Consider the following 21,423-nt stretch of genomic DNA (forward strand, 5'->3'; position numbering starts at 1 on the left):
GAAGGTTCTAACGTTTTTATTGATTAGATTTGTGTACAGTGGTAATCCTTCCATCATACAGGTAATATATAATAACATTCAAAAATCTGACATTAAAATAACTTATTGACTAATGCTAATATTAACACACAATAGTTCTATCTCTATTAATAATAAAAACCAAACCACTGAGTTTATCTTAGAAAACTTAAATTCAGGCCATTATTTTACAATTTGGAAGTCTGAGTAATCCAACTTCAAGATGACTTTTTCATTGTTGAAGTTTGCTTTGTCGATGTGTGATTTAGGACTTCCTCTTGTTTCAAGCCATTCCTGCATATGACGCACCTTGGAGATGGGACCTTGCAATTGTCCTTGCACTGTGCCCCGGTCAGTGTTCTGGACCCAGCCTACCAATCCCAGCTTTTTACCCTCAGCCTAAGGGGGGTAAAAAGAGAGAGAGATCCAGTGAGATTGAAGAAAACAAGGTAAGACTACAATCTGTTGCCAGAATCTTGGCCTAGAATCAAGCCACTGAAACTAATTTGATATTGCCCAGAACAGTCAAAAGAAAGACAGCAAGAAGGATCTCATTGCTTATCTTCACATGAAGTATTGGCCACTTGACTGCATGTCTTTCTTCTACCCTATAAAACCCAGGCACTAGAATTTTTCACTGTGTAGTCAATTTGGTTAAGTATCAAAGACTTAAGTCCAAAACAGATGCTTTTGAAATGATCCCCTAAGGCTGATTGTTTTTAGAATACTGGACTGTATCTTGCTCATTTTCCCTTCCCCTAATCAAGAATCTATTGGGTATGTTAAATGGAAAAAACATGAAGTTATCTGATCCTTCCCTTTGCCTTTAACCAGGACCACACGTAAACAAATCCAGATGAATTAGTGTTCATTATATCTTTAAAGATCATTAGAAAGTATTTCACAATTTCCTGGGCAACTCATCCCGTTGTTCTTACTGTAGTGAAACTGTCTAACCCAACATCTTTATGTTGTAGCCAAAGCCCACTTTATTATCTTCCTAGAAAAGGAAAGCAGCTGGTGTTCAGCCTCTCAACAGCAAACCATGAGACTACATAACTATCAGGTTTTCACTTCACTTTCTTCTCTTCTGTCTAAATAATCACAATGCCTTTAGGCTTATAAAAAGCATCTAATCATTACAGTGTCTTATCCTTTTTAATGTTCTTTCCTTTTATTAAACTGTGGCAAGACTGAATGTTTAGGAAAGGTAGCAATGTTTTGGAGGTAATTTTATTTTTGTATAAATTTATGATTAGAATATTAAGTCATTGATTGTTAAAGTAATTATCTAAATAGAAGATGTTGGATTACAAAAGAAAATGGGAGTTAACATGATTGCATGTCAAAATGTGGGAAATTGCTGGAGTTGGCCAAAGAAAACGTTATGCATAGCAACAAAATGTTTGATGAGGAATTTAAGTATCCATCAAATCAAAGACATGTTCAAAGCAAAGACATGTTTGCTTAATGAACAAAACAGACTCCAGCCAAATAAATAACCATTTGAGGGATACAAAGGAAATTAAGGAATGAAGAAAAATAGAAGATGCCTACCTGATGCGCTGCTAAGTGCCAAAGAAGATACCATAAAAGAAGAATGCTGAGAATGAATTTTGAGTAAGACTCCGCATCCAACTGACAGGGCAGTATAACAACTGCCCTCTTCTGCTTCAAATTAACCCAGGGGAGCTGACTATCTCCAGTTCTTAAGAGTTATCTTATATGGTAAATAGCTGTAAGAATGTGCAGTTTTAAACAGGAGGTTGTCACAGTCAAATAAATCTTTAAAAATTTGCAATGTGATTTATCTGAACTCTTTTTTTTTTTTTTTTTTTTTTTTTGAGACGGAGTCTCGCTCTGTCGCCCAGACTGGAGTGCAGTGGCGTGATCTCAGCTCACTGCAAGCTCCGCCTCCCAGGTTTATGCCATTCTCCTGCCTCAGCCTCCCCAGTAGCTGGGACCACAGGCGCCCGCAACCACTCCCGGCTAATTTTTTTGTATTTTTAGTAGAGATGGGGTTTCACTGTGTTAGCCAGGATGGTCTCGATCTCCTGACCTCATGATCCGCCTGCCTCGGCCTCCCAAAGTGCTGGGATTACAGGCATGAGCCACTGCACCTGGCCTTATCTGAACTCTTGAGAGTTGAACAGAACACTCCAAAATTTGACCAGTGTTGAGAATGGGCGTTTCCTACTGGTTTCATTTGTGTGCTCAACTCTGTTCTTATTTTTTTAATGATGACATAATGTTATTGACTCATGTTCAGTTTTGAATATCTATTGCACCAACAGGGTTTTTCTCCCCTAAGAAAATTCCAAAAAGTGAATTCTACCTCATAACCATATTTTTGCTTAAACAATCATCTGACAACATTTCAAGGACTGTAATCACCACCTCTAGTTGCAATCTAAAAAGAAACTCTCTTCAAATCAATAATCAAGATTTCCACCTTAGGATACTAGAAAAAGAAGAGCAAACTGAATTCAAAATGAGCAGAAAGAAGGAAATAAAGATTAGAGCAGAAATTAATGGAAAGCAGAAGAATAGAGAAAATCAATAAAACAAAAGTTGCTTCTTTGACAGGATCAACAAAATTGACAACCTTTAGCTAGACTGATAAAGAAAAACGGATGAAAGCCTCAAATTACTAAAATCAGAAATAAAAGGAGACATTACCACCAACCTTACAAAGATAAAAAGGATAAAAGGGAATTCTATGAACAATTATATGCCAAAAAATTAGATTAAATTTTTTTGGATGAAAACAAACCTAATACCTAGAAAGACAAACAACCAAAACTGAATCAAGAAGAAATAGAAAGTCTGAATAGACCTATACCAAGAGATGGAATTTGTAATCAAAAACTTCCCACAGATAAAAAGCCCAGGACCAGATGGCTTCATGGGTAAATTCTACCAAATGTTTAAAAAAAAATCCTTTACCAACCCTTCACAAACTCTTCCAAAAAATAGAAGAAGATCCAAACCAAGAATTAAGGGTTAAAAAAAAGAAGAGGAAACACTTCCCAACACATTTTATTAAGCCAGCATTATCCTCATACTAAAACTAAAGCTAAAAAATAAAAATGAAAAATAAGTGTCTCATTCCTGGGACTGTGGTACTTAAAATTCAAATTCTAACCTGGAAGGAATCTTTGAAACATGAATGTGAATTGTCAATACCTCTTTTCCTTTTTCTTTTTTTTTTCTGAAGGATGGTGGCACAGTCACAGCTTATTGCAGCCTTAACCTCCCAGGCTCAAATGATCCTCCTTCCTCAGCCTCCCAAAAACAAAGCTGTCACGAGAAAAAACAACCAAAAAACCATAGACCAATATCTCTTATGAACAGAGATGCAAAAATCATCAGCAAAATACTAGCAAACCAAATCAGGCAACACAGAAAAAGAATTGTATACCATGACAAACTAGGATTTCTTTCAAGGTTGGTTCAATATACAAGAAGTAATCAATTTAATACACCATATTAATAAAACAAAAGCTATATGATCATCTCAATAGATGGCAAAAAAGCATTTGACAAAAACCAATACCTCTTTTATGATCAAAACACTCAACAAACTAGGAACAGAAGGAAACTTCCTCAACCTGATAAAGGGAATCTGTGAAAAACCCACTGCTAACATCATACTTAATGGTGAAAGATTAAAAACGTTCCCACGAAGATCAGGAACAAGACAAGGATGTCTGCTGTTACCACTCTACTCAATATTATACTTGAGGGTCTATCCACAGCAGGAGAAAGAAAAGGCATTCAGATTGGAAAGGAAAAAGCAGAACTACCTCTATTTGTAGATGACATATCTTGTATACAAAAAGTCCTAAGAAACATACACAGGCACACACTAGAGCTAATTAACAGTCTCACAAGGTTGTAGGATATAAGATTGATATACAAAAATCAATTGTATTTCTATACACTAGCAATGAAAAACTGAAAATGAAATTAGGAAACAATTCCATTTATAATAGCATCAAAAAGATAGAGTGTCTAGGAATAAATTTAACAAAAGAATTGCACGACATATATGGAAATCTACAAAACATTCTTGAAAGAAATTAAAGAGTATCTAAATAAATGGAAAGACATCCCTTACTGATGTATTGAAATACTTAACATTGTTAAGATGATATTACTACCCAATTGATCTACAGATTCAACTCAATCTCTATCAAAATCCCAGTGCTTTTGCAGAAATCGAAAAATTGATACTAAAATTTACATGGAAACATAAGGGACCCAGGATAGCTAGAAATAATCTTGAAAAGGAAAAACAAAGTTGAAGGATTCACACTTCCCAATTTCAAAACTTACTACAAAGCTGCAGTAACTGAGACAGTGTGGTACTGGCATAAGGATAGTGGCTTAGACCATTTCGTGTTGCTATAAAGAACTACCTGAGGACCAGGCGTGGTAGCTCACACCTGTAATCCCAGCACTTTGGGAGGCCGAGGTGGGGGGATCATGAGGTCAGGAGTTCGAGATCAGCCTGGCCAAGACGGTGAAACGCCGTCTATTAAAAATACAAAAATTAGCCGGGCGCAGTGGTGGGTGCCTGTAATCCCAGCTACTCAGGAGGCTGAGGCAGGAGAATTGCTTGAACCCAGGAAGTGGAGGTTGCAGTGAGCCGAGATCGCACTACTGCACTTTAGCCTAGGCAACAGAGCAAGACTCTGTCTCAAAAAAAAAAAAAAAAAAAAAAAAGAACTACCTGCTGAGGCTGGGTAATTTATAAAGAAAAGAGGTTTATTTGACTCATGATTCTGTAGATTGTATAAGCATGAGACTGTCACTGGCATCAGGTGAGGGCCTTAGGCTGTTTCCACTGTGAGGCAGGGGTGGGAAGAGGTGGGGTACCAGGCTCTTTTTAACAACCAGTTCTCACCGGGCACGGTGGCTCACACCTGTAATCCCAGCACTTTGGGAGGCTGAGGCGGGCGGATCACCTGAGGTCAGGAGTTTGAGACCAGCCTGGCCAACACGGTGAAACCCTGTGTCTACTAAAAATACAAAAATTAGCTGGGTGTGGTGGCGGGTGCCTGTAATCCCAGCCACTTGGGAGGGCGAGGCAGGAGAATTGCTTGAACCCTGGAGGCAGAGGTTGCAGTGAGCCGAGATTGTGTCACTGCACTCTAGCCTGGGCGACAAGAACAAGACTCCGTTTCAAAAAAAATAAATAAAAATAACAACCAGTTCTCCAGGGAACTAATAGAGTAAGACTTCATTGACCCTCCCACCCCCCAGGAAGAGCATTAATCTACTCATGAGGGACCTGGCCCCATTACTCAAACATCTCCCATTATGTCCCACTTTCAACACTGGGGATCAAATTTCAACATGAGATTTGAAGGGGACAAACATCTCAACTACAGCAGGCAGACATATAGATGAATGGAATAGTATTGAGAGTCCAGAAATAAATCCTTACATTTATGTTGATTTTTGAAAAGGGTGCTATGACGAATGTGGGAAATAATACTCACTTCAACAAATGGTGCTGGGACAACTGGATATTCATATGCAAAAGAATAAAGCTGGATTTCCTACCTCACATCACATAAAAATTAACTCAAACTGGATCAAAGACCTCAATCTAAGAGTGTAAACTATGAAATTTTGAAGAAAACATAGGCGGCTGGGCGCGGTGGCTCACGCCTGTAATCCCAGCACTTTGGGAGGCTGAGGCGGGTGGATCACGAGGTCAGGAGTTCGAGACCAGTCTGACCAACATGGTGAAACCCCGTCGCTACTAAAAATGCAAAAATTAGTTGGGCGTGATATAGCACACCTGTAATCTCAGCTACTCAGGAGAATCGCTTGAACCCTGGAGGCGGAAGGTTGCAGTGAGCCGAGATCGAGATCGCGCCACTGCACAGAGCGAGACTCTGTCTTAAAAAAAAAAAAAAAAAAAAAAGGAAAAGAAAACATAGGCATGACAGCAGCTGGGTGTGGTGGCTCACACCTGTAATCCCAGCACTTTGGGAGGCTGAGGTGGGCAGATTGCTTGAGGTCAGGATCAGCCAGGCAACATGGGGAAACCCAGTTGCTACAAAAAACAAAAACAAAACAAACAAAAAACATAGGCATGAACCTTCATGACCTTGGATTAGGAAGATTTCTTAGATATAACACTAAAAGTGCAAGCAAAAAAAGAACAGATAAATTTGATTTGACTTCATCAAAAGTAAAAACTTTTGTACTTCACAGACACTATCAAGAAATTAAAAAGACAACCCACAGAATGGGAGAAATATTTGTATATCATACATCTGATAAGGGACTAGTATCCAGAATAAAAATATTCTTACAACTCAAGAATAAGGAGGCAAATAACTAAAAATGGGCAAAAATATTTGAATGGACATTTCTTCAAAGCAGACATAAAATATGCCAATAAGCACATGAAAAGATGCTCAACATCATTAGTCATTAGGAAGGCAAATCAAAACCACACTGAAAGTATACACATACAACAGGATATTATTCCGTCTTACAAAGAAAGGAAATTGTTTTTACTTTCATGATATAACACAGATGAACCCTGAGGATATTATGCTAAGTGAAATAAGCCAGCCACAAAAGGACAAATACTGTAAAATTCCACTTATATGAGGTAACTAGAGCAGTTGAATTAATAGAATGTAGATTTATGATTGTCAGGGGCATGGGGGAAGGAGAAAATGGGGAGTTAGTGTTTAATGAATACAGAGTTTCAGTTTTGCAAGATGAAAAGCGTTCTGTAGATAAACAGAACAATGTGAATGTGCTTAAGACCACTGAATTGTACATTTAAAAATGGTTAGAACAATAATTTCTATGTTATATGTATTCTACCACAATTTTAGAAGTAAGTGTGCTATATGGTTTCCAAATATTTTGGGATTTTCCAGTTATCCTTTTTATTTTTTTAATGTGGTTTAGTTCCACTGTAGTTGGAGAACATTCCTTGATTTAAATCCTTTTAAATTCATTAATACCTGAAAAACAAACAAACAACCACAATGAAATATTACCTCATACCCACTAGGATGGCTAACATAAAAGACAGTAACCATTGTTGGCAAGGATGTGGACAAACTGGAATTCTCACACATTGCCAGTGAGAACATAATATGGTATAGCTACTTTGGAAAAGTTTGGCAGTTCCTCAAAAAGCTAAACATAAAGTTACCATATGACCCAGCAATCTACTCCTAGGTATGTATATACTCAATGGAACTGAAAACATTGTCTACATAAAAATATGTGCATATGTGTTCACAGCACTACTATTCATAATGGCCAAAAATCAGAAACCCAAATTTCCATCAATTGATGAATGGATAAATGAAATGTGGTATATCCATACAATGGAATATTATTCAGCCATAAAAAGGAATAGGATACTAATACATGCTACAGTGTAGATAAACCTTGAAAACAATATGTTAAGTGAAAGGAGCCAGTCACAAAAAAAGGCCACATTTGTATGATTCCATTTATATTAAATATCAAGAATAGGCTGAACACGGTGGCTCATGCGTGTAATCCCAGCACTTTGGGAGGCTGAGGTAGGTGGATCACCTGAGGTGAGGAGTTCAAGACCCAGCCTGGCCAACATGGTGAAACCCCATCTCTACTAAAAATACAAAAGTTAACTGGGCATGGTGGTGCATGCCTGTAATCCCGGCTACCTGGGATGCTGAGGGAGAAGAATCACTTGAACCCAGGAGGCAGAGGTTGCAGTGAGCCGAGATCACGCCACTGCACTCCAGCCTGGGTGACAGAATGAGGCAGAGTTGAGACTCTGTCTCAACAACAACAACAACAACAACAACAATCTAGAATAGGCAAATCCATAGAGACAGAAAGTAGGTTAGTGGTTGCCAGGGGCTCAGGGGATGAGGAGTGAGTGCTAACCTAGGTAGGGGTTTCTTTTTGGGATGATGAAAATGTTCTGGAATTAGTGCAACATTTTGTGAATATACTAAAAATCACCAAATTATACACTTTAGGAGGATGGGTTTTATGGGATGTAAATTATATTCCAAGTTTTCAAAAGTCCCTGAATTATTATTTGTCACTTCTCTAGAAATGAAGGAATTTAAATAAGAGGCTAGATAATATCAACAGCAAACATTGCAGCAAAACAACTGTTCAAATGAACATATATATTTAAATGATTATAAATAGTAAAGAATAAGCTACAAGCCTAATTAAGAAAAAATAGATGTCATTTTATATGCAGTTTTCCAATCAATATTTGTTTTTCTGCATTCTGTTATTCTCTCTTTAAACTGGGGAGAGGGGCAGGTAGAGAAAGATGGGCTATGCATACCACTATCTGACCCTTTTCCCTCAACAACTTTGACTAATCTTTGAAGCTGTTATCTCAATCACCTTAATTTACAGGAACTTACCTGCATAACTGGTAGCAAAGCTAACTGGAACACAGCTCTTGCTGTGAGTTTCAGCAATTCTGTTTTCAACAGTCATTTCCTATTTGAGTGTCAGATGGGAAGAAATGATTTTTGAATAATTAGAAAAAGAGGTATTGGCCGGGCACAGTGGCTCACACCTGTAATCCCAACACTTTGGGAGGCCAAGGTGGGCGGATCACCTGAGGTTGGGAGTTCAAGACCAGCCTGACCAACATGGAAAAACCCTGTCTCTACTAAAAATACAAAATTAGCGGGGCATGGTGGCACATGCCTGTAATCTCAGCTACTTGGGAAGCTGAAGTAGGAGAAACGCTTGAACCCGGGAGGCGGACGTTGCGGTGAGCTGAGATCGTGCCATTGCACTCCAGCCTGGGCAAAAAGAATGAAACTCTGTCTCAAAAAAAAAAAAAAAAAAAAAAAGAAAAGAAAAGAAAAAGAGGTATTGGCTGGGTATGGTCACTCATGCCTGTAATCCCAGCACACTGGTGGGAGGCCGAGGCAGAAGGATCACTTGAGCCTGGGAGTTTGAGACCAGCCTGGGCAACATAGCTCTCTGTTAAAAGAGAAAAAAAAAAAAAAAGCTGGGTGTGGCGGCATGCACCTGTGGTCCCAGCTACTTGGGAGGCTGAGGAAGGAGGATCATTTGAGCCTGGGAGGTTAAGGCTGCAATAAGCTGTGACTGTGCCACCATCCTTCAGAAAAAAAAAAGAAAAAGGGAAAGAGGTATTGACAATTCACATTCATGTTTCAAAGATTCCTTCCAGGTTAGAATTTGAATTTTAAGTACCACAGTCCCAGGAATGAGACACTTAAGAAGTTCTGCAGTCCTGGCCGGGTGCGGTGGCTCACACCTGTAATCCCAGCACTTGGGGAGGCTGAGGCGGATGGATCACGAGGCCAGGAGTTCAAGACCAGCCTGGCCAAGATGGTGAAACCCTGTCTCTACTAAAAATACAAAAAAAAAAAAAAAAAAAAAAGAAGTTTTGCAGTCCTAACTCATTATCTGTGGGATTAGCGACACACTGGGAAGGCAATAGCCAATACCTACAGAAGGCAGAGGGTAAATTGAGCTTGCATTTGTGTGTGCCTGTTGAGGGAAGATTAGCCACATTAAAGCAGAGGTAGAGGCTGCCAACAGTTTGTCCATCCCCTCAAATAATCCTTTATTGCTCTAGGAAGAATACCAGGCTCCACATTCAGTGTTCCCATCACCTATTCTGGAATGGATAAAGAGTTTTTAATAAGAAAAACGTCAGCTGGAAAAGGTAAATGTTCTTTCAAAACCAAAAAAGAATAGAAAGAAATTAAGTGGAGAACTGAGGGAAGCTTGGAGAAAGAGGTCTGAAGAAAGTGCAGCAGCTGCAGAGGAAGCATTTATATATGTTATATACATGACATCAGGTCATCTAAATGCCAGCTCTTCAATCAATGTTAGCCTTTCTATAAGAAACCTGACTTGGTTTGATGATGCCACAACGGCGAGCACTGGGGAAGCCCTCTATTTCCCTTGGAAGAGAGAAGCTCATTAATATGTGTATCTAGATGCTCAGGCACCACTGACTAATAATAACAGCAGGGTGATCTTCCATTTACACCATGTTTTACCGATTGCACAGCATTTTCATACTCATTGCTCTACAAACTACCTCTTTGCCATGCAGCTACCAAATAGCCAGCGGCTTCTAGTTCACATTTGTCAAGAACACGTCCCTTGTTCCTATGCCCACAACCTAGGTTACCACCCCAAAGCCTGCAGGCCACATACCTGAGTATGCTTACGGAAAAACACCCCTTGCACCTTCCCAAAAATTTCATAATCCACTGATATCAGGGTGTTTCCTTCTGCCATGCTCAAACCTGTCAGAAACCAGGAAAGCAGAAGAGTGAAGGGCTATTATTCCAGGACCCGCAAGCCTGAGTCAGAAAGGGCCACACCCACCCCTGTCCATCCTTAACCATTGCGACCTCTCCCCGACTTCAAGGTCCTGGAAATGGAAACGTGAGTGGATGTGATAAGGTGTGTGTGAAGGAAGAACCAGACGCCGGGAGAGGGAGCTTCGGATCGCAGCTGCCCGCTGAAGCCTCTTCTGGGGAAATAACCTGAGGACCGATGACCTCCTTACATCCATGCCCGGTCCCGCTCCCTCACTACCAGAATTCCCTGCTACTAACTCCCAGAATCCCCTGCTACTAACATTTTAGGGCTAATCGACCTGAGAAGCACACCCTGGGGGCCCCTGGCGGCTCACCCTCCTTGTCTTCCCCACCGGCTGCCAGGATCACTCCGGGACCACCACGCCAACGGCTCACCAAGGCGCGCAAACCTCCGCGCCCGGAAGTTTAGTGTGTAGCTGCTCCTTCGCTGTCGCTCATGCCCATCACCTCCAGCTGACCAATCAGAGACGGCGCCTCGGCCCGGGCCCGCCCAGAAGGTGGGATTTCAGGACGCGGTTGTCCGGCAACCCAAAAGCTTTGGGTTGGGGATCTGTCCAGGAACTCGGCTGGGCCTCCACAAACCTAGCCCTCATCGCATCTCAGTCAACAAGCGCAACCCTCTTCTCATTTTCTCATGAGGAGAAAGGCATAGACGAAGAAGTACATGGGGATACATTCAATCATTCAATTAAATACTGACTGACAGCTACTGTGTGCCAGGCACCTGTTCTAGGTGACCAGGCAAACATCAGTGAACAAAACAGGATCCCTGTCCTGAGGAGCTTAATTCTGGAGGTGAGAGACAAACAGCACACATTAAACATCATAAATAGCTTGTAATCTCAGCACTTTGGGAGGCCGACACGGGCGAATCACTTGAGGTCAGGAGTTCGAGAGCAGCCTGGCCAACATGGTGAAACCCCGTTTCTACCAAAAATACAAAAATTGGCCGGGCATGGTGGCGGGCGCCTGTAATCCCAGCTACTCGGGAGGCTGAGGCAGGAGAATCGCTTGAACCTGGGAGGTGGAGGCTGCAGTGAGCCGAGATTGCCCCACTGCACTCCAGCCTGGGCAACAGAGGGAGACTCTGACTCAAATAAATAAATTAATAAATAAAAAAATAAACATCATAAATATGTTGAGTAGGATACATTTAACCTTTCTGTCCTTTTTCATTCAGTTCTCCTTAAAGTTTGGGTCATAACAATCTGGAATAGGGGATTACGGGGCATAAGTGCACAGGAGGTCCCAATGGAGGTTATGTCTGCTTCTGGGCTTCTGGAAGCTACTCACCGGTCTCCTTTACTAAGAAAATGTCAAATAATGCTTGAACAAATAACCAGCTAACTACACAAATAAAGCAAGAGCACAAGCAAAATAACTCATGGCTCCAGAATTACAGTTGAGTCAGTCAATCTAAGCCAAATGGCCAAACTACACGAATTTATTTTGGGAACAGGGAATTGTCAAGGGGGATGTGGATGAAGATGGTTAAAATTAGAGTTGATGTGTAAACATTTGAATCCAGCTACCCTTATGATTCATGTGTGTGAAGGAAAACTGTGGTGTTTATTGATCCTCTGTGGATTGACTGTATACATTACACCTCTTCATAACGTAAAGACTCCTTATGTGAATATGCCAGGTTGGCAGACTTGACAATGAGATATGGGTTTGTGACAGTAGGCACGGAAATTCATCATTCTGCTAGTTCCCCGCTAGAGTGAGGATCCATATCCTAGAGAATCATACAACCTTAGTGCTGAGAGGTGGGGGGTTGGTGGTGAACAAGCTGGATTGAATGTTGTACTTGGCAATATTTGAAAATAACTCTAAATAGAGTATCTTGCTAATGGTATTTCTTTCTCTAAAATTCATTTAAAAAATAGTTTATAGAATTCAAAACTTACTGAGTGTCTAATACGAATGGGGCACTCTAGGATATACAAAGATGAATGATATAAAATCTTTGCCCTCAAAGAGTTTTTAATTTAGTGTAGGGGCACAAATGCATGCAAATAATGACAATAAAATATATGGCATGATAATTTAATTCCATGAAAATCCATTGAGAGCTCATCAGGAACCAGCCCTGTGCTATAACAAGGACAGAAAATATTACAAAGGAGCAAACAAATTAATTCTGATTGGGAAGACAGGGAAAGAGTTCTTGGAGGAAACAGCATTTAATCCAAGGTCACACAACCAGTAAGTGATGGAGCTGGGATTTGGTTCCAGAGTCAATCCCCATGAATGCTATGCTCTACCAGCTCCCAGTATGTGGAGCTTAGAGTAATGTAGTACCATGGAGATGAAGAAGTACAAGTAGCCAGTTGTGGCTAGACCAGGGGTTTGCTACCCTGCTTGTGCATCAGGATCTTTGGGGAAGCTTTAAAAATGTTAATCCTCAGGCCTCACCCCTAGATATTGCTTTCCAAGTAGTCTTAACACACAGTCAGGGATGAGACTCACTGGGTTGAACTCTGTGGCTTATTAAGGGGAGGCAAAACTGAAAAGGTAGGCTGGACCTAATCTGGGAGGTAGAGATGCCATGCTAAATTATGCATTTCAACTTTATTCTATAGGTAAAGAAGAAGCTACTGGGGAGGGAAATGGTAGGATCAGAAGCATTTAGTAATTAGCTTGATTTAATCACTGCACAATGCATACATTATCAAAACATCACTTTGTACACTGCAAATATAGATATAATTTTTGCTTGTCAATTATATTTTAATAAAGCTGGGGGGGGGTGGAGAAATATTTAGACTGATTATTTTGCCTGCAGCATGAAGGATGGGTTTGAAGAGCAGATATTGAAGGCAAGAGCAGAAGTTAGGAGGGCTATGCCATCCCAAGGAGAAGTGAGGAAAAACTCACCTGGGGCAGCAGAAATGTAAAGGAAGAGTCATATATGAGAGACATTGCAGAAGTAAACTCAATAGGCCAGGCGTGATGGCTCACGTTTGTAATCCCAGCACTTTGGGAGGCTAAGGCAGGTGGATCACCTGAGGTCAGGAGTTTGAGACTGATGAAACCCCATCTCTACTAAAAATACAGAAATTAGTTGGGCGTGGTGGTGCACACCTGTACTTCCAGCTACTAGGGAGGCCAAGGCAGGAGGATTGCTTGAACCTGAGAGGCAGAGGTTGCAGTGAGCTGAGATCGCGCCACTCCACCCCCATCTGGATGACAGAGCAAGACTGTCTCAAAGAAAAAAAGGAAGAAAACTCAATAAAACTTGTGATTAGTTAGAAGGAAGAGGCAACAAAGAGGGAAGCATGGAAGACTGATGCTGTGAGCATGCAAGGGCACACTGGAGAGGCAGATTTGAGAATGGGAGAGGATCAGAGTTTATGTTGTCTTACAGAATTTGAGGTTCCTAAGGAACAATCTTGTGGAGGTGTCAAATGGGCAGTCCTGAAATTTGAGTCTGTAACTAATGAGAAAGACTAAAGCTAAGCTGGCTGTCATTTAAACACAGGTGAAACCTGAAATTTCAGCATTTGGTTGAAATCATTAAAGAAGAGAATGTCTGGAACTACACACACACACACACACACACACACACACACACACACACACACATATATATGAAATAAGAGGGCTTCAGAAAACACTTAAATTTAGGGAGTAGATGGGGAAAAGATAAATGCCAGACTTGGAAGAAGATGGAGCAAGAACATGAAAGAAGAAACCAAGAGGGCACAGGAGAACTGAGAAGAGCATTCTAAGTGGGTGGATAATCAGTAATGTCACATGAGTAGGCTGAAAAAATGAAGCTTTTGTCTTTGGAAAGTCACTGGTAGCTTTGTAGTTAAATAAAGTGGAGAAAGTAGAAGACAGGCCACAATGAACTGGACAATGACGGGGAGATGAGGATATGTGGGCAGCAAATGTGGAGATTTCCATTAAGAAGTCTTGTGGAGAAGAGGAGAAATGAATGGGACTGTAATATGAAAGTTAGGTCAAGGGAAGTAAGGTTTGTTTTGCAGGGGAAAGTTGAGTATATGTTAAAACCAAAGAGACAGAGTTTATGGAGAGGTATAACTTGAAGTTAACAAGATGCAGACAGGGTGCCGTCTCTCACGTCTATAATCTCAGTACTTTGTGAGACTGAGGCGGGAGGATCTCTTTTGACTCCAGGGGTTTGAGACCAGCCTGGGTAACAAAGGGAGACCCTGTCTCTACAGAAAAAAAAAAAAGAAGTAAGCTGGGTGTGGGGGGCACACACCTGTAGTCCCAGCTACTCGGGAGGCTGAGGTGGGAGGATCACTTGAGCTGTGGAAGTTGAGGCTCCAGTGAGCAGTGATTGTGCCACTGCACTTCAGCCTGGGCAACAGAGTGAGGCCCTGTCTCAAAAACAAAGGCCAGGCCCGGTGGCTCATGCTTGTAATCCCAGCACTTTGGGAGGCTGAGACAGGCGGATCACCTGGGGTCAGGAGTTCAAGACCAGCCTGGCCAACATGGTGAAACTCTGTCTCTACTAAAAATACAAAAAATTAGCCAGGTGTAGTGGCAGACGCCTGTAATCTCAGCTACTCGGGAGGCTGAGGCAGGAGAATCACTTGAACCCAGGAGGCAGAGGTGGCAGTGAGCTAAGAGTGCGCCACTGCACTTCAGCCTGGGCAACAAAACAGGGCGAGATTCCGTCTCAAAAAACAAAAAACAAACAACTTTAAAAAACCCCAAAAACCAACAAAACAGAAAACAAAACAAAACAAAAATGCAGGGGTAAAGTGATGGAGTCAATTCCCGGAGGGTACTGAAAAGGACTAATTCAAGAGAACTCAATGGAACTCAATGGAAAGTCGCCCTTCTTTCTCATAGAGGAGAGGGAAGGAGAGAGAGAGAGGAGAGAGGGAGACAGACAGAGACAGAAACAGAGGAGAGAGGGAGAGGAGGAAGAAGAGAGAGAGACAGAGAGAGAGAGAAAGAGAAAAAGAAAGCCGGTAAATTCTGCTGAGGGAAGCTGTGGGAGTTGATAATCGGGACCCTGAGTGGAGTGGGAAACGTCTGGAGCTGCATATACGGAGAGGCGGTAGAGTCAACTAGGGATGAAAACGAGGAATTAAAAAAAAAAAAAAGACTGATCTGGAGGGTCCACCAAGGAATTTCCTTGTAACGGGTAACAGCTGTAATATGACATGTTGAAGTATTAACACTGATGACTGCTGTCTACATTATTTTCCATGTGCATGAATTGAGTAGTTACAGGGAAAAAGCGAACTGCCTGTTCCAAACGGCTTACACAGATGAACTGAAGCGAAGAAGAAAAATGAACTTTCTTTTGATGTCAACAAGATAGAGTATCATTTACTGTTGAAGCCAGGTTATACTGATTATTTTCGATCTGGTAGTTAACTTTATCATCATTACATTTGGCTGAGTCATTCCTGGGCCCTAAGTAGAGACGGCTAGAATTACCACGTGAGTAAAACATTATAATATCAAAATAATTAGATTGGCCACAAAAACTACCACGGAAAGATACTGCGTAGCAAAAACGTTGGCAGCAAGTTCCAAAGCCTTGGCGAGGACAAGCAAGGAGCGCGCGCGTGCAGCCATACCTGGGGCCCGCCCAGCGCAGCCGAGCGCGCGGAGAAAGGCCAGCAGCAGCCCCGCTCCCGCCAGGCGGGCGGACGCCGGCATCCTGCGGCGGAAGCACGCGGAGGCACAGCCAGGGCCTCCGCCCTTTGCCAGACAAGGGCACACCCCAAGGTCTGGGAGCGTCGTTCTCAGAAAAGTACAAGTTCTTCTTTGAAGGAGCTCCAGAAAAGCCTCTCCCGCCCCTCCCCGGCTCCCCAAGGGCAGGGCTGGACCGAGCTGCAGAGTTGGCCGGACACTGACTGGGTCAAGTGACCTTGGGCTGACCGCACCCCCACCCCCGGTCGCCCCGGGTCGCTGGTGCACTGCGCCTGCGCGCGTCTCCCCGAGGAGTTCGCGGCGAGGGGCGGAGCTTGGCGCGCCAGTGCCTCGGTTTCCAGGCACCGGGAATAACAGAAGCCAGCTGAGAGCGCCTGCGCGGCTGTCGGTTGATGGGGAGGTCAGGTCTGGGAAACTAGGCCCTGGGGTTTTCCCTGAGCAGGAGCGGTGCCCGAGGGCCTCAGGTACGCAGAAGGGCGGGGAGACATGGGATCAGCACCTCCACCTCCTAAGGGACCGAAGGGCAGGAGAGCGAGAGGACTTGTCCCCAGAGGTGGAGTCCGAAGTGGGGGCGCCCCAGTTGACCCTTCGGGACAAAACGTGACTTCAGCCTTAAGGATCTAAAACCGGCCGCGGTCAGGTCAGGTGGCCCTCAACGCTCAGGTTACAAAACTTTTACAGTCTGCGCCACGGGGACTCCTGGGATGAGGGTTTGACAGCCAGGCACCTGCTCCAGGCCCTAGCAGCTTTTGTGCTCTTTGGAATCAAGCACGGTTCCAGCAGGAGGGAAGCCCTGAGAGTTCTTTGTGCCAGTCACTACCTCTGGGCCACAGCTTTCTCACCTGTAAAATGGTGAGGCTGGACTCTGCGGGAACCCTTCAGTTTACAGGGGAAGAAACGGGGGCCAGCAAGGGAGAAGTCGCTTGTCCTGTTACAGGCCTAGAACCTGACTTTCTAGTCAGGTGCTCTTTCCACCTACTATAGAGTATACTGTGCGTGGCAGAGGCTGGTGCTGGAGGAAAGGAAAGCTAGGTGGCAGGAACACCTGTAGCACCTTCGTTTTTCTACCCTCAGGGCCTAACACAGTGTCTTGTGCATAATCACTCACCAAATGGTTTTTGAAGGGAAGCTTTGGCAGGTCCAGCAACACTGTCCCCAGAAAAGTTTAAGGGAATGTGGGCAGGGCAAATGTAGAAATAGTTTGCTTTAGCAGCCGAGAGTGAACCTCAGACAAACTCTTCCCGTGTATCTGGTTTAAATCTCCCGTAGGCGTCAGTCCAGGCCCTGAATGGCTGGTCTCCAGCGGTTGGCGTCACATCTGCCTGTGGGCGTTATGCTCCCACATAATACAACGGAAGCTCCAGGGCCCCACTCAGCCAAGCAAGACTCTTACGAACAAGGTGACTCTTCCCAGCAGTCCTTGAAGGGGCACCTGAGGAACAATTTCCAGAAGCAGCTTTTGAGCAACAAAGAGTTGATTCTGGATAAAGTCTATACTCACCCCAAATGGAACACCCAAACAAAAGCCCGGAGCTACTCCTATCCCCACTGTACTGGAATCAGCCAGCAAGATCCAGAAAGTGATTCCCAGGGCCAAGGAAATGGTTTGTTTTACTCGTCAGGCCCTCAATCCTGGTATCCCAAAGCCAATAACCAGGACTTTATCCCCTTTACAAAGAAACGAGTTGGAGTGGACCGGGCGTTCCCATTGAAACCCATGGTCCACAGGAAGTCGTGCAGTACAGGTGAGGCTGGCACTGATGGGGACCATAATGTCTACCCAAGGCCCCCTGAGCCGAGAGAGTTTTCATCTAGGAACTTTGGTGTGAGGAACCAGGGCAACTTTTCTGTGGTTGGTACTGTTCTTGCTGCCACGCAGGCGGAGAAGGCCGTGGCAAACTTTGACAGGACGGAGTGGGTGCAGATCCGAAGACTAGAAGCTGCAGGGGAGAGCTTAGAGGAGGAAATCCGAAGAAAGCAGATTCTCCTGAGGGGAAAGCTGAAGAAGACAGAGGAGGAACTCAGAAGGATCCAGACGCAAAAGGAACAGGCCAAGGAAAATGAAAACGGAGAGCTACAGAAAATTATACTCCCCAGGAGCAGAGTTAAAGGTAATAAAAGCAACACCATGTACAAACCTATCTTCTCCCCAGAATTTGAGTTTGAGGAAGAATTTAGTAGAGACAGGAGAGAGGATGAAACTTGGGGACGGTCTCAACAAAATTCAGGTCCATTCCAGTTCTCTGATTATAGAATCCAGAGGCTCAAAAGGGAAAGGCTGGTAGCAAGCAATAATAAAATTCGAGACCCAGTCTCAGAGCCATCGGTGGAGAAATTCTCCCCGCCTTCAGAAACACCAGTCGGTGCTTTGCAGGGATCCGCCAGAAATTCCAGCCTGTCCATGGCACCAGACTCCTCAGGTTCCAGCGGCTCCATTGAAGAGCCACAGCTGGGTGAGTGCAGCCACTGTGGGCGCAAATTCCTCTCGTTCAGGCTGGAGAGACACTCCAACATCTGCAGCAGGATGCGGGGTTCCAAGAGGAAAGTGTTTGACTCCTCCAGGGCCCGGGCTAAGGGCACAGAACTAGAGCAGTACTTGAACTGGAAGGGGCCAGCTTCAGCCAAGGTAACAAGAGCCTTATGGATGTGACTTGGTGTGGTGATCATTGTAGGGGTCTGTTTTGTCATCATCAGTTTTCTTTAGGGAAAATTCATGTGTCATGTAGGAAGAATTGACGTCTAGAATTAACATTTCTTGATTACTACTGTATGCCAGCATTGTGACGGGAGCTTTTCATGTGATCTCCACATTATCTCTCATTGTATCAGTTCAAAAATCAAGACTTGGACAGGCTAAGTAACTTGCTTGAGGTCACAAACAGCTTTAAGTGGCAGAGTCGGCATATAAATCTTGGTTGGAATGACTAAAAAATCTAGACATAGAATTTGTGTCCTTTGGATTATAAAAGTAATAAAAGTTTACTGTAGAAAATTTAAAAGACACAAAAAATCTAAAGAAAAAAATGCAGCCTTTTGTCACCTGGAGAGAACTCCTCACTCTTTGCAATGTATTCTGCCACTTCCCAAGACTAGGATCTGTGACCATTCCTTTAACTATTCACTCTTTTAAGGTTAGCTCAGTGTTAACATAGCTTCTTAGTAAATAGATGAAACACAATTAAGTTTGGAATTCTTTTTCTGCCCATTTAGAATGTAAACACCTTGAAGGTAAAAAGGACTTTCTTTCTGGTTATCTTACAAACCATGCCCTTGCCAATTATTTCTCACTTTAGAAAAACCAGGTTGGAAAAAGTAAGGGTTTCGTGACACTTACATGATAAATTTAGGTGAACTTCATAGGCACATTTGGACATATCTGGAGAAGATTGTCTCATAAATGAATGACATGTCAAGGTTGTGCCACTTGGTTTATAAAATGGTTATTTCTCAAGGTGTGGCATGCTGACAAACTTTATTTTAGTAGTTTTAGTGTTTAGTGTTGTATTAGAAAAATTGATTCGTCGTTTAGTGTTATATTAGGAAAATATAACAATATATTAAGCCCCTGATTTCCAGGGATCATGAATTTACAGAAAAATATTAATTAGTTGTAAGGATGAAGTGAAAGTGCAGATGATTGAAGTTTGGGAAAGCGTAGATCATATGATCTCAGAGGCCCCATCTAGTTCTAATATTCCAGAAGAATAAGAGAGTGTCATTCTGTTTTCATTTCTTCCCAACCCTCCCTCCGCTGTGCTGGCACCTCTTGTCCATTGGCACTTTACAGTTTCTGTGTATTTGCTGGAGCCTTTAAAAACTCACATTTATATGATGGTTGTTAGAAGAAATTGTTTACAATTAGAGTTCTTTCTTTTAGTAGTTTGGAGAAATCACAAGGAAGTCCCATCCATGTTCAGAGATCATCTCCCTGAAATCTAGTTTCCAAAGAAGAAATCAGCATTTTGCTCTTGCAGATAATAATATGATCACCACTTACTGTTTTTTCCTGTTTTCTTTCAGTTCAACCCAGTAATCCACTGGGAATTCACTCTATGTCCCACTGTAGCGATTTATTTTTGGCCAGAGCCTAAAAGAATCTTGTGTTTCTTAAATTCGTAAATACAGTTACGGTGAAGCAAAATAATTAGGTTCCTGAGATCAGATGCTCCAGCTTTATGGCAACTAGTTTGTGGGAATGTGTGACATTGAGGACACCAAGACAGAAGGGACCTAGACTAAGATGCACCTGCACCACCCTGGTAATGTCTCAAATCTTATTCCACAGTGCTGTGCCTTTGGAAGCTGAGTGGTTGTACCTTCCTGTCATTCCTCTAGAGTACTCAAGAACAGGTGATTTTCCTGGTATCCTTTAATCTTCACGTAACTCCCAGCAGACGTACACCCTGTCTCTCTCCTGGACTGTAAGCATTTTTGAGGACAGGGAACATATTTTGTGCTTTGTGCTTAATAAGTGTTAACTGAATAGAATTTCAGTACAATGAGGAATAAAATTATAGGAATTAGAGTATAAGAAGTAAATTACTAAAGGATCTCATATACTTGAGGAACTTTCCCCTGATCAAATTCTTTGAGAGGAACTTTCCCCTGATCAAATTCTTTTTTTGAGACCGAGTCTCGCCCTGTTGCCCAGGCTGGAGTGCAGTGACGCGATCTCGGCTCACTGCAGCGATCTTGGCTCACTGCAGCCTCCACCTACCGGGTTCAAGCAATTCTCTGCCTCAGTCTCCTGAGTAGCTGGGATTACAGGTGCCCGCCACCACACCCAGCTAATTTTTGTATGTTTAGTAGAGACGGGGTTTCACCATCTTGCCCAGGCTGGTCTTGAACTCCTGACCTTGTGATCCACACGCCTCAGCCTCCCAAAATGTTGGGATTACATGCATGAGCCACCGTGCCTGGTCTTCGAATTCTTTTAAAGGTTCCTGGATACCATCGCTAATACTCTCTTGCCTTCTTGTCTGTTTTGGCAAGAGACTTTCTGGAAGGATCCTTTCTTTTCCTTTGATAGTATCTCTTCCTATTATTCATCATTAACAATGCCAGATCACCAAGAGCTAGTTGTCTTTTTTCTCTTTAAAAAATTTAATAGTGTTTGCATGCATTTAAAAAACATGTAGTACTGAATGACCTATAATGGAACCCCTAATTCAGCCCCCGGAGGCAGCCTTCAGTTCTGTTAGATGGTTCTTCTGGTCTGCCTTTCCATATTTCCAAATAATATGCTTATTTTCTTGATTTATCAATTTTCTACATTACCTGTTTTTTTTTGTTTTGTTTTGTTTTTTTTGAGACGGAGTCTCTGTCGCCCAGGCTGGAGTGCAGTGGCTTGATCTTGGCTTACTGCAACCTTCACCTCCCG

The 21,423-nt window shown here is 42.8% G+C and overlaps 2 protein-coding genes across 13 annotated transcripts in view, besides 4 other annotated features; one reads left to right on the plus strand and one right to left on the minus strand.

Annotated features, from left to right (window-relative positions):
• ACYP1 (acylphosphatase 1) lies at positions 1–16,248 on the minus strand. Of its 6 annotated transcripts, NR_126393.2 has the most exons (4): positions 10,712–10,782; positions 10,228–10,319; positions 8,442–8,520; positions 1–417 (listed from the first exon to the last, which is right to left on the minus strand). NR_126393.2 is itself a non-coding variant. In NM_001302617.2 (3 exons), the coding sequence occupies exons 1-3, from the start codon at positions 16,047–16,049 to the stop codon at positions 202–204; spliced, it is 390 nt and encodes a 129-aa protein (NP_001289546.1). In that variant the 5' UTR covers positions 16,050–16,248; the 3' UTR covers positions 1–201. The 6 variants fall into 6 exon arrangements, 3 of the variants coding, with proteins under 3 accessions (NP_001289546.1, NP_001289545.1, NP_001098.1); NM_001302617.2 differs by lacking the exons at positions 8,442–8,520; positions 10,712–10,782 and adding an exon at positions 15,968–16,248; NM_001302616.2 differs by lacking the exon at positions 8,442–8,520 and having other exon boundaries at positions 10,730–10,782.
• Positions 10,953–11,122: an enhancer, noted in NCBI's record as "active region_8735". NCBI's record gives its function as "activates an Ori minimal core promoter by ATAC-STARR-seq in GM12878 lymphoblastoid cells {active_cell/tissue: GM12878}" and the evidence as "EXISTENCE:reporter gene assay evidence [ECO:0000049][PMID:35858748]".
• Positions 16,042–16,593: an enhancer, noted in NCBI's record as "H3K27ac hESC enhancer chr14:75535987-75536538 (GRCh37/hg19 assembly coordinates)". NCBI's record gives its function as "activates a minimal SCP1, AML or CMV promoter by ChIP-STARR-seq in naive H9 embryonic stem cells {active_cell/tissue: H9 hESC(naive)}" and the evidence as "EXISTENCE:reporter gene assay evidence [ECO:0000049][PMID:30033119]".
• Positions 16,298–16,417: a silencer, noted in NCBI's record as "silent region_5940". NCBI's record gives its function as "represses an Ori minimal core promoter by ATAC-STARR-seq in GM12878 lymphoblastoid cells {active_cell/tissue: GM12878}" and the evidence as "EXISTENCE:reporter gene assay evidence [ECO:0000049][PMID:35858748]".
• ZC2HC1C (zinc finger C2HC-type containing 1C) overlaps positions 16,399–21,423 on the plus strand; it is a 10,348-nt gene continuing 5,323 nt past the window's right edge. Inside the window, exons 1-2 of one of the 7 annotated variants that reach the window (XM_011537155.3) lie at positions 16,399–16,706; positions 17,313–18,669. In XM_011537155.3, coding sequence (XP_011535457.1) covers positions 17,332–18,669 — 1,338 coding nt within the window. In that variant the 5' untranslated portion in view covers positions 16,399–16,706; positions 17,313–17,331. The remainder of the gene's footprint in view (positions 16,707–17,312; positions 18,670–21,423) is intronic. The other 6 variants (XM_005268062.4, NM_024643.4, NM_001330191.2 and 3 more) reach the window with 6 other exon arrangements.
• Positions 16,594–17,145: an enhancer, noted in NCBI's record as "H3K27ac hESC enhancer chr14:75536539-75537090 (GRCh37/hg19 assembly coordinates)". NCBI's record gives its function as "activates a minimal SCP1, AML or CMV promoter by ChIP-STARR-seq in naive H9 embryonic stem cells {active_cell/tissue: H9 hESC(naive)}" and the evidence as "EXISTENCE:reporter gene assay evidence [ECO:0000049][PMID:30033119]".

Source organism: Homo sapiens, chromosome 14, assembly GCF_000001405.40.
Source record: "Homo sapiens chromosome 14, GRCh38.p14 Primary Assembly".
NCBI classification, from domain to species: domain Eukaryota; kingdom Metazoa; phylum Chordata; class Mammalia; order Primates; family Hominidae; genus Homo; species Homo sapiens.

Excerpts from the sequence above, each read along its gene's own strand:
- ACYP1 (NM_001302617.2), bottom strand. The coding sequence starts at position 16,049 with ATGCCGGCGTCCGCCCGCCTGGCGGGAGCGGGGCTGCTGCTGGCCTTT. Across the intron at positions 10,320-15,967 it reads CTGCGCTGGGCGGGCCCCAG|GTTTGAGCATGGCAGAAGGA; the intron begins GTATGGCTGCAC and ends GGTTTCTGACAG. Across the intron at positions 418-10,227 it reads TTTTCCGTAAGCATACTCAG|GCTGAGGGTAAAAAGCTGGG; the intron begins GTATGTGGCCTG and ends TACCCCCCTTAG.